Source organism: Homo sapiens, chromosome 5, assembly GCF_000001405.40.
Source record: "Homo sapiens chromosome 5, GRCh38.p14 Primary Assembly".
NCBI lineage: Eukaryota > Metazoa > Chordata > Mammalia > Primates > Hominidae > Homo > Homo sapiens.
In genome coordinates this window covers 105,087,977-105,100,497 of record NC_000005.10, presented here as the reverse complement: position 1 = coordinate 105,100,497, position 12,521 = coordinate 105,087,977, and the positions used below count along the sequence as shown (strand labels likewise).

Genomic DNA, 12,521 nt, shown 5'->3' with positions numbered 1-12,521 from the left:
ATTGCATAAAAAGATACACATATAAAAAGTAGTTCTCTGTTTTCCCAGGAAAAAATCCAAGCATAATTTCTAGAATAGTCAAGTTTCTTGTTTTAATTGTAATTAAAGTCTTGATCATCTTATTTATTAGCTGTGTGACTTACATGTTTAAATTAAAGAAATGTTGTTAAACAACTGTTGCAATTTATAAATGTAAGGTGCCATTATTCAGTAAACAGACTCCTCCATGAGTGGATGTGTTCCTTCTCCTACCAACTATTGAAAAGCAGCACTATACATTAGTTTAATTTTATTAGTAGATGATACACTGCTGCAAATGCTAATTCTCTTCTCCATCCCCATGTTGATTTTGTGTGTACCTGTGAGTTGTTTAGAATGCATCAACAATGTCTTTAACAATCAACATTAAGATGAGCTAGGCTTGGGCTTTCAATGAAGATTGACCAATGGTTTCGATGAAGTCAGACCATCACTCTCTGAGTCAAGTGATCTGACCTATCCCTGGTAGTAAGAACTCTTGGAACCCCCTTTTCAAATGCTACTGCCACATTTGTGGCATCTTTTGCACTTGTTTCAAATTAAGGATAGTCGCTGCCGTCCCTGCACCAGGCTTGGGCTTCTTCTGCAGACACCTGCTGTTCACTGTCAGTCTTGTTACCCAAAATTACAAAAGGAAAGCTTTTGGGTTCTTTCACATCAGCGAAATATAAGAATTCTTTCTTCCAGTTACTTAAGTTCTGGAAGCTTTGGAATTGTCAACACTAAAAGTAAGCAGGCAGCAGTCAGAACCTCTGTAAAATGGCATCCTCAGGCTTCAGAATCACTCCTGACCTGCTGTGTCCCAATTCTACTTGGTACCAAAATGTCCATCCACTTCCAAATCTTTACTTAAAAATTCCACACCTATTGTATGAAAGAGCTGGGTATCAAACTTATTAATTACATATCTGTGCATAAGATAACTCTTTCCAACTCCACCATCTCCAAAGAGAATTACTTTAAAAAGTGATGATTTTCCTGCCGTTAAGAGCTTTGGCTTCAGAACTCTTAGTTGTTCAATTCAATCATCATTATCTCCTAGTGTTGTTGAGAAGATTCACTCAAATGACAGGGAGAAAGTATTCCATCACAATGCCGGCTTATTATAGGAGTGCAAGAAATTTCTCATGGCCATACAGAGCTCTGGGCTGGCCCATCTGAGTGCAATGAGAACAGAGAGAGGGTTGGGACCTGCATAGCAGAAGGCGGAAGTGGTGGAGATGCCAGGCTCTGACTCCAGCGGCTGCCATCAGGCGCAGAGGAAATAACATGGCCCCTGGCTTGGATGGGCTGCCGCACACTTTTAAACAACAATAACTTGCAAGAACTTGCGAACAATGGGGAAGACAGTCCCAAGGGGATGATGCTAAACCATTCATAAGAAACCCACCCCCATGAGCTAATCACCTCCTACCAGGCCCACTTCCAGCACTGGGGATTACAATTTAACATGAGATGTGGTCAGGGACACATACCCAAACTATATAAACTACTATGGGTATATTAATTATAATAAAAATAAACTACATCCTTGGATAAAGAAAATGGAAGAAGTTACATTATAAAAAAAATTTCAACATCTTTTTGAAAATCAGAAATTGAATAGAAAATAGATACAGTGTAGCTAATTTTTCGAACAAGAGTGTCAAGTGAAAGGGCTAACAATGAAGAACTCTCATAAAAAACTTTCTAATTACTTCCATAGAATTCTGAGTCTTGGATTTTGCTGGTGGGTTCTAGAATAGAAAACATGAACTAACTTTCTTTCTTTCTTTCTTTCTTTCTTTCTTTCTTTCTTTCTTTCTTTCTTTCTTTCTTTCCCTTTCTCTCTCTCTCTCTCTCTCTCTCTTTCTTTCTCTTTCTTTCTTTTTTTCTTCTGAGACAGAGTCTCACTCTGTTGCCCAGGCTGGAGTGCAGTGGCATGATCTCAGCTCACTGCAACCTCCGCCCCCCCGGGTTCAAGTGATTCTCCTGCCTCAGCCTCTTGAGTAGCTGGGATTACAGGCGTGTGATGCCATGCCCGGCTAATTTTGTATTTTTAGTAGAGACGGAGTTTCACCATGTTGGCCAGGCTGGTATCGAATTCCTGACCTGGTGATTCTCCCACCTCGGCCTCCCAAAGTGCTGGGATTACAGGTGTGAGCCACCATGCCCTGCCACAAAAGCTTATTTTCAAATTTATATAGAGTACAGTTGGCCTCCTCTCCTCCCTCACCATTCTCCCAAAATAAAAATCAGAATACAGTGGTTAGGAACCTAAAGCCTAGGCAAAAAAAAAAAAAAAAAAAGTTTAATCTCTAGTGAGACAGCGGAATCCTGGGATTACCTCTTACAAAGGAAGATGATAATCATTTATGGAATTGGAAACCAGGTGAGAAGGGGTCATAGAAATAATTGCATGCCTACATATAGCCTATTATTTTGCAAGCCTATTCCATAGGACCCCTAGGACAGGGGCACCCAGTAGTGCTTTCTGGTAAGTAGTTTAAAGTATTGTCATTTGGAGAAATAAAGGGCTCAAGAGAGAAGATAAAAGAGAAAAAGATACCCACTTACTGAAATTTGGATAACTAGCTGCCTTAACATCCTGAAATAAAACAGCATGGTTAACAAGGCCCATATGCACTTATATTGCCCTAACTCTAAATCAGATCAGTTAGTATGTCATTAATCCTATGATGAAAGCTCCCAACATAAGACAACATTAATGTTATTATTACTGTTAGAAAGTGTGAGGTCTTCTACTCTGACCCTACCTAAACTTGTTTATTTCAATGAGCAATTTTATTAATTTGCACTATATATACATTGACTCTCTATTGTTTCCTGCATATTCTTTTTAAAACTTTTTATTTTTAATTTTTGTGGGTACACAGTAGGTGTGTATATTTATGGGGTACATGAAATATTTTTATATAGGCATGTAATGCATAATAATAATGTCATGAAAATGGGCTATCCATCCCCCTCAAGCATTTATCCTTTGTGTTACAATCCAATCATACTCTTCTAGTTATTTTTAAATGTACAGTTAAATTATTATTGACTATGGTAACCTTGTTGTGCTATCAAATACTAGATCTTATTCATTCTATTTTATTGTACCCATTAACCATCCCAATCTCCCCAACAGCCCCCTACTGCCCTTCTCAGCTTCTGAAAATCATTCTTATACAATGTCCATGATTTCAATTATTTTGATTTTTAGATCTCACAAGTAAGTGAGAATGTATGATGTTATGCCTAGCTTGTTTCACTTAAAATCACTACCTCCAGTTTCATCCATGTTGTTGCAAGTGACTGAATCTCATTCTTTCTTATGGCTGAATAGTATTCTATTGTGAATATGTACCACTTTTCTTTATCCACTCATCTGTCGATGGATACTTAGGTTGCTTCCAAGTTTTGACTATTATAAACAGTGCTGCAACAAACATGGGAGTACAGATATCTCTTTGATATACTGATTTCCTTTCTTTTGGTTATATACCGAGCAGTGGGATTGCTGGATCACATGGTAGCTCAATTTTTAGGTTTTTGAGGAACCTCCGAACTGTTCTCCATAGTGGTTATGCTAATTTACATTCCCACCAGCAGTATATGAGGATTCCTTTTTCTCCAAATCCTCACCAGCATTTGTTATTGCCTGTCTTTGGGGTATGACCCATTTTAGCTGGGGTGAGGTGATGTCTCATGGTAGGTTTTGATTTGCATTTCTCTGATGAACAATGATGCTGAGCACCTTTTTGTATGTCTGCCATTTCTATGTCTTCTTTCGAATGTCTATTCAAATCTTTTGCCCATTTATAAATCAGATAATATTTTTTCTGTAGAGTTATTTAAGCTCCTTTTATATTATCATTATTACTCCCTTGTCAAATGAGTACTTTGCAAATATTTTCTCCCATTCCGTGGATTGTCTCTTCAATTTGTTGATTGTTTCCTTTGCTGTTCGAAGCTTTTTAACTTGATGTGATCCCATTTCTCCATCTTTGCTTTGGTTGCCTGTTCTTGTGAAATACTACTCAGAAAATTTTTCTCTAGATCAGTATCTTGGAGAGTTTTCCCAGTGCTTCTTTGTAGTAATTTTATAGTTTGAGGTCTTAAATTTAAGGCTTTAATCCATTTTGATTTAATTTTTGTATATGGTGAGAGATAGAGGTCTAATTTTTTTCATCTGCATATAGATAGCATGTTTCCCAGTACGATTTTTAAAAGTTTTTTCTGCAATGTATCTTCTTAGGACCTTTGTCAAAAATGAGTTCACCGTAGGGGTGAGGATTTGTTTCTGGGTTCTCTATTGTGTTCCATTGGTCTATGTGTCTGTTTTTGTGCCAGTACTATGCTGTTTTGAATAAAATAGTTCTGTAGTAATTTAAAGTCAGGTAATATGATTCCTCCAGTTTTGTTCTTTTTGCTTAGGATAGCTTCAGCTATTATGGGTCTTTTGTGGTTTCGTATGACTTTTAGTACTTTTTTTATTTCTGTGAAGAATGTCATTGGTATTTTGATAGGAATTGCATTGAGTCTGTAGATGACTTTGGGTATTATGGACATTTTTAAAATATGGATTCTTGTGATCTGTGAACATGGAATATCTTTCTTATTTTTGGTGTCTTATTCAATTTCTTTCATCAGTGTTTTATAGTTTTCATTAAAGAAATCTTTCACTTCTTTGGTTAGGTTAATTCTCAGATATTTAATTATATGTGTGGCTGTTGTAAATAGGATTACTTTTTTATTTTGTTTTCATATTGTTCATTGTTGGCATATAGAAATGTTACTGATGTTTGTATGTTGGTTTCATAACCTAAAACGTTACTGAATTTTTTTGTCAATTGTCCATTCTACTAGTTTTCTTTTGGAGTTTTTAGGTTTTTCAAAATATAATATCATCAGCAACCAAAGGTAACTGGACTTTTTCTTTTTCAATTTGGATGTCCTTTATATCTTTCTCTTGTCTGATTGCTCTAGGTAAGACTTCCAGTACTATTTTAAATATCAGCGGTAAAAAGGGCATCGTTTTCATGTTCCACATCTTAGAGCAAAGGTTTTCAGTGTTTCCCCACTCAGTATGATACTAGCTGTGGGTGAGTCATACATGGCTTTTATTTTGTGGAGGTATGCTGCTTATATACCCAGTTTTTTTTAAGGCTTTTATCCTGAAGGGATGTTAAATTTTATCAGATGCTCTTTCAGCATTAAGTAAAATTATCATATGGTTGTTTGTCCCTTTCATTCTGTTGATATGATGGTTTCCATATGTTGAACCATCCTTGCATCCCAAGGATAAATCCCACTTGTTATGATGAATGATCTTTTAATTGTATTGTTGAATTTTGTTTGCTGGTATTTTGTTGAGAATTTTTGCATCAATATTCATTAGAGATATTGGCTTGTAGTTTTGTTTCTTTGAAGTGTCTTTGCCTGGTTTTAGTATCAGGGTAATTCTGGCTTCATAGAATGATTTTGGAAGTATTATCTCCTTCTCAATATTTTAGAACTGTTTGAGTAGGATTGGTATTAATTTTTCTTTAAATGTTTGGTAAAACTTAGCATCCCACAATCGGGTCCCAGACTTTTATTTTACTGGAGATTATTTTTTATGGCTTTAATCTCATTACTTGTCATTGGCCTGTTCAGACACTGGATTTCTTTGTGGCTCAGTCTTGGTAGGTTTTATGTGCCTAGGAATTTGCCCATTTCCTCTAGATTTTCTAATTTATTGACATATAGTTACTAATAGTAGACATTAATGACCCTTGGACTTTCTCTGGTATCAGCTGTAATGCCTTTTTTTCATCTCTGATTTTATTTATTTAGATCTTCTCCCTTTTTTTCTTAGTTGGTCTGGCTAGAGGTTTTCAGTCTAGTTTTAACTTAAAAAAATCAACTTATTGTTTCCCTGATTTTCTGTATTGCTTTATAGACTTTGATTTTATTTATTTCTGCTATAATATTTATTATTTCTTTTCTTCTACTAATTTTGGTCTGATATGCTCTGGCTTTTCTAATACTTTAAGATGCATCATTAGGTTGTTTATGTGAAATTTTTTTTTCTCTTTTTTGATGTAGGTACTTATAGCTATAATATTCCCTTTAGCACTTCTTTCTCTGTATCCCATAGGTTTTGGTATGTTGTGTTTCCATTATCATTTGTTTGAAGTAATTTTTAAATTTCCTTCTGAATTTCATTAAATCACTTGTCATTCAAGAGTATATATTGTTTAATATCCATGTGTTTATGTAGCTTCCAAAATTTTTCTTTTTATTGATTTCTAGTTTTATTTTACTGTAGTCAGAGAAGATGCTTGAAATGATTAAAAAAAATTTTGGAATGTTTTCAGACTTGTTTTGTTACCTAACATCTGGTCTATCCTTGAAAATGATCCATGTGCTGAGGAGAAGAATGTATATTTGGCATCCTTGAATGAAATGTTCTGTAAACTTCTGTTAGGTCCATTTGATCTATAGTGCAGATTAAGTCTGTTGTTTCTTTGTTGATTTTCTTTCTGAAAGATGTGTTCAAAGCTGACAGTGGGGTGCTAAAGTCTCCAACTAGTATTGCTTTGGTGACTATCTCTCTCTTTAGTAATATTTGCTTTACAAATCTGGTTGCTCTAGTGGTGGGTGCATATATATTTCAAATTGTTATATCCTCTTGCTGAACTGACAACTTTCTTCTTATAGTTTTTGTCTTGAAATCTACTTTTTCTGATATCAGTATAGCTACTCCTGCTCTTTTTTGGTTCCTATTTGCATGGAATATCTTTTGCTATCCTTTTATTTTTAGTCTTTGAGTGTCTTTATAGGTGAAGTGTGTTTCTTGTAAACAACAGATCATTGGGTTTTGCTTTTTCATTCATTCAGCTAGTCTATGTCTTTTGATTGCAGAGTTTAGTCTATTTACATTCAATGTTGCCATTGATGAGTAAGGACTTACTCCTGCCATTTTGTTACTTATTTTATACTTATTTTGTTATCTTTTCTTCCTTTGTTCTTTCTTTCCTGTCTTCCTTTTAGAGAAGATGATTTTAGAAAAGGTTTTTTGGTTTGAGGTTACTGTGAGGCTTGAAAACACTATCTTATAAACCATTATTTTAGAGTGATACCAACTTAACAACTTAATATTGTTTGCCTAAACAAATAAGCCAACAAATAAGCAAAAATAAAACAAGCATAAACAAGCCAACAAACAAGCACAAAGAAAAACAAACATGCAACAAATGAACAAAAAGAAAACTAATAACAACTACCTACCTTAACTTTGTCCATCAGCTTTTTACCTTTTTGTTGTTTTTATTTATATCTAATTGTATTGTGTATGTCTTGAAAATTTATTGTAGCTATTATTTTTTATTGTTTCATTGTTTAGTCATTCTACTTAAGATAAGAGAGTGTATACACCACAAGTTACCACGCTTTTCTGTGTATTTTTTATTGTCAATGAGTTTTGTACCTTCAGATGATTTCTTATTGCTCATTAGCATACTTTGAAGTACTCTCTAGCATTTTCTGCAGGACAGTCTGGTGTTGATGAAATCTCTCAGCTTTTGTTGTCTGTGAAAGTCTTTATTTGACCTTTATGTTTGAAGGATACTTTTGTTGGATCTACTATTTTAGAGTAAACATTTATTTCCTTCAGCACTTTATATATGTCATACCACTCTCTTCTGACCTGTAATGTTTCTACTGAATAGTCTGCTGTCAAACATATTGGAGTGTCATTGTATGTTATTTGTTTATTTTCTTTTGCTGCTTTTAGGATCCTTTCTTTATTTTTGATGTTTGGAAGTTTGATTATTAAATGCCTTGAGGTAGTCTTCTTTGGGTTAAATCTCTTGGTGTTCTATAACCTTCTTATACTTGGATATTGATATCTTTCTCTAGATTTAGGAAGTTTTATTATTATCCCTATCAATAAATTTTCTACCCCTATCTATTTCTCTTCCTCCTCTTTAAGTCCAATTACTTAGCTCTGCCTTCATGTGGCTGTTTTCTGTATTCTCTAGGCATATTTTATTGTGTTTTATTCATTTTCCTTTTGTTTCTCCTGGCTGTGTATTTTCTAATAGTCTGTTTTTAAGCTCACAAATTCTTCTGGTTGATCAATTCTTCTATTAAAAGACTCTGATGCATTCTTCTGTATGACAATTGCAGATCCCACCTCCAAAATTTCTGCTTGATTCTTTTTAACTATTTCAATATCTTTGTTATATTTGTCTGACAGATTCTGTGTTATCTTGAATTTGAGTTTCCTCACAACAGCTCTTTTGAATTCTGTATGAAAAGTCACATGTCTCTTTTTGTTCAGGATAGGTCCCTGGTGCCTTATTTAGTTCATTTGGTGAGGTTATATTTTCCTGGATGGTGTTGATGGTGGTAGATATTCTTTGGTGTCTAGGAATTGAAGAGTTAGGTATTTATTGTAGTCTTTACTGTCTGGGCTTATTTGTAGCCATCTTTCTTGGAAAGACTTTTCAGATATTTGAAACACTTGGGTGTTATGATCTAAGCTGTATATCCTTTAGGGGGGTACCCCAAGCCTGGTAATGCTGTGGTTCTTGCAGACTCATAGAGATTCCACCTCGTTAGTTTAGGCAAGATCCAGAAAAATTCTTTGGATTACTAGGCAGAGACTGTGTTCTCTTCTCTACTTTCTCTCAAACATACGTAGTTTCTCTCTCTGTTCTGAGCTACTTAAAGTTGGGGGGGGGTGGAGTGACACAAGCACCCCTGTGGCCACCAGCCCTATGATTGCACTGGGTTCGACCTGAAGCCAACACAGCACTGGGTCTCGCCCAAGGCCTGCTATAATTACTTCCTGGCTACTTCCAGGGGCTGCTGGCCCTGGAGCTCTGCAATCAACCTGTGGTAAAGTCAGCTAGGCCTGTGTTCTTCCCTTCAGGGCAATGAGTTACCCTAGGTCTTGGGTAGGTCCAGATGTGCCATCTAGGAATCAGGGACTAGAATCAAAAACCTTAGAAGTCTACCTGGTGTTTTATTGTATTGTGGCTCAGCTGGTAATCAAACCACAAAACAGTCCTTTCACTCTTTCCTCCTCTTTCCAAAGGCAGAGGAGCCTCAACCTGTGGACAATATCACCCCAGCCAGGAGTACTTCAAGACTACTGCTGATGTTCCCTTAATGCCAAAGGGCTCTTCAGTCAGTTTGTGGTGAATGCTTCCTAGCCTGGGTCTCACCCTCCTAGGTAGTGGACTCTCCTCTGGCCTAGCACAGGTCCAGAAATGCCATCCGAGACAAGTCCTGGAATCAGGGGCCCCAAGAGCCTGTTTGGTGCTCTACCCACCTGTGGCCAAGTTGGTATCTAAGATGTAAGACAAAGTCCCCTTTACTTTTCCCTCTACTTCTCTCAAGTTAAAAGAGTCTTGCCCCATCACAGCTGAGAATGTGCTGGGTGTCACTTGAAGAGTCATCTCTAAGATGTCTCATCTAAGGCCATTGACATAGGACTTGGGTTTTGCTGGTTATTATTCAGGAGCCAAGGGTTCTTCAGTTACAAAATGATAAATTCTGTCAGAACTTGGTCCTTCCCTTCAAGGCAACAAGTTTCCCTGTGGTGTAGGGTGTCGCTAGAAATATTTCAGAGCTAAAGCCTGAAAAATGGGCCTCAAAACTCTGACTGGTGCTGTACCCTGCTGTGGCCAAGCTGGTACCCAAGATGCAAGAGAAAGTCTCCCCACTCTTCTCTCTCCTCTCCTCAAATGGAGGACCTGTAAGCTGTGCAGCCTTTTGGACTTGTTAGCTATGCAGCCTGGATTTAGGAGGTGGATAATGCCAGCCCTCCTTAGCCACCATGGCTGGTGTCTCATTAGGTCATATGTTTCCCCAGTCTACTGGCTCTGGGCCCACTTCAGCCCTAGGACTCTCCTAGGAGTTGCAGTTCTTGTGGCCTAGATTGTCTTTTAAGTTTATTTATGGCTCCACAGCACTTTAGCCCACGGTGGCTAGGCTTACAGAAACTGATTAGGACCACTGGGATTGGCAGTTCCCTTCTGTCTAGGGTTGGTTTTAATGCTTTATACACAGGAGGGCATCAGCTGGTTTTGTTTTCTGCTATAACAGTGCAGAACTGAGTTCAGTGTCTCGATGAGGGGGTGGCATCGATGATTCAAGACTGTTTTTCCTATCTCTTCAGTGTGCCTTTCAGTGACATGAAGTGAAAACCAGGTACCATTAGTGGTCACCTGATTTTTGGTTCTTATGAATGTTCTTTTTTGTGTAGATAGTTGTTAAATTGTCGTCCTTTTAGGAGGGACGATCAGTGGAGCATTTTATTTCACCATCTTTGCTTTCCCCCTCACTTGGTGCATAAGGATTTAATTACCTCTTTCTGATTCTCTGTACCTTTTTTCACTCAGTTATAGTCAATTATATTCTTATTTTTAAAGAAATATTAATATTGCTAAGGTATAATGTTGGCATTAATTGTATACACATAAAATATTATGTTAATATAATGTCTTAAAGCATTGTTTCCATTCCTTTACTCACATACTCACTATATCATTAGGTTAAGTGCATGTATCTAATAAATATCATGCAACATGTTTATAAATCCAATGTGTGACACTGTTCTTTTACAGGCAAGTTGAAGTTACATATGTATTGTACTTTCAGATTTCTTTGGGCTTTTTTCATGTCATTTTGTTTCCTTTGTGTACCGTTTTGGTTTGTATTTTTTTTCTCTCTTCCCTTCCTCTGAATACATCAAGTTTTCTTTATTATTTTACTTTTTGAATACATTATATTTTAATTTTTAGTTGTCTCTTTTAAATTACTAATGTGCATGCTCAACTATGATAAAATGAAAGTTACTCTATATGCTTATCACTTTCTGAACAATACAAGAACCATTACGCATTTTATCTCAGATCTTTTTTGTTTTTTATATTAATTTTTATATTATATATTTTGTTGACTCTAATTTCTAAATTCTCTGAAATTAACCAATATTATTTTTCAGCAAATGATTACTGACTTGTGCTAGTTCTCCTGTTTTTGGCAAATGACTTTAGTCATGATAGTTTATTTCTTTATTAAGTGGGATTTTTATTTTTGAGCTAAGTTTTAAGTGGCAGTATTCTTTGGTGGTTGTTGTTTCCCTCTGTAGAGAGTTCCATATGCTTTGGCTCCAGAAACATTCCTTCACAACTTGCAGCTCAGGCTTGCATGATTCCAATGTAGCAAGTGAGTTTGGACATGCTCTAGGCTATTCTTTAATTTTGGGGTTGAAAACCTACCACCAAGTAGAAATGCAATTCCAAGCCTCACAACCACGAGTTGTACAGGCTCCAAGTTTCTATTTCCACTGATTAACTCTCCTATCATGCTTTAAATAGGAATCTAGTGGTTTCAGTTTTCTAGTCTTTGAGTAAAGCAGGCCTTTGTTTTGACTGCCTTCTTCTGCTAGAGTGAATGCTATATCTTCCCCTCCAGGTAGCACGTAAAACCTTTAGTCTGCAAGTTTTCAGTCATATTGCTATTAACCAAAAGGGTTTAACGTCTGTATATAATTCTAGTGTTTTCTTTTCTCTTGGTTTCTGGCATCAATGGGTTTCTTTTTTCTTTAAAATGCTATTTTATATTGTTTCATATTATATGTCATGTTAAATGGAATTATCTTCATTATATGAAAATTGCTACTAGGACTTATAACTGGGAACAAATAGGTAATAATTATCCTGTATTTTATAAAAGGACTGGAACAATTATGTAGACTAACATTTCTTTCACTGATTGGATGTCTACTAATACACTACACTGACTACCTATCCTCTAGGCTGACTATTTGAACTTGGAAAAGAGTATTATTGAAAAGAACAGTATAGATACAAGAAAACCGTGCAGTAGCCATCAAAACAATTGTTTACAATGCTAAGGATGAGGAAATCTCCCAGCGGTCAAGTGGATGCTGTAAAGGAAGTCTACTTTGAAATAACTTATGCTGCACCACTAAGGAGGCTGGCTGCTGAACAAAGATGTAGTGTAGACAGTTGTGGAATTAAAGAGGCCATGCTGGATTACATTTCTCACATCAGAAAATTGTGCAGAGGGTTTTTAGCCTTCATGACCCATGAAATATTTACACATGTCATCCATTTGATAAACAGCTTCCGTTCCCTGTCTTACATAAAGGCAAGCCTGTCTTAAAGGAGAAACGGCAGCAGACAGGGGTCTACAACAGTGGACAAATACATATGTAAAAAGTACCTGCCTCTCACATCTATTCCTCCTTCCCGCATGAATATGCCAGAGAGGAAACACAAGAAAGAGGAAGAAAAGGAGCAGATGGAAGAGTCATCTCAGCAAAAGAACATAGTTTACTTGTCCTCCCCAAGTCCTTCCTGCTAAAGCCTGGCTGGTGTTGATGGGAAGAATAACTAATGTTAATTGAACATAGAATAGAATTTTAAACTTGAATAGGCTTCTTATATATTTGAACATGAACATATAGTAAT

At 36.3% G+C, this 12,521-nt stretch overlaps 1 pseudogene across 1 annotated transcript; it reads right to left on the bottom strand.

The window, feature by feature from the left end:
• Positions 1 to 399: 399 nt before the first annotated feature.
• On the bottom strand, positions 400 to 1,024 carry RAB9BP1 (RAB9B, member RAS oncogene family pseudogene 1; annotated as a pseudogene). The gene has a single exon (NR_000039.2). The product of NR_000039.2 is annotated as an RAB9B, member RAS oncogene family pseudogene 1 (transcript).
• Between the last annotated feature and the right edge of the window lie 11,497 nt (positions 1,025 to 12,521).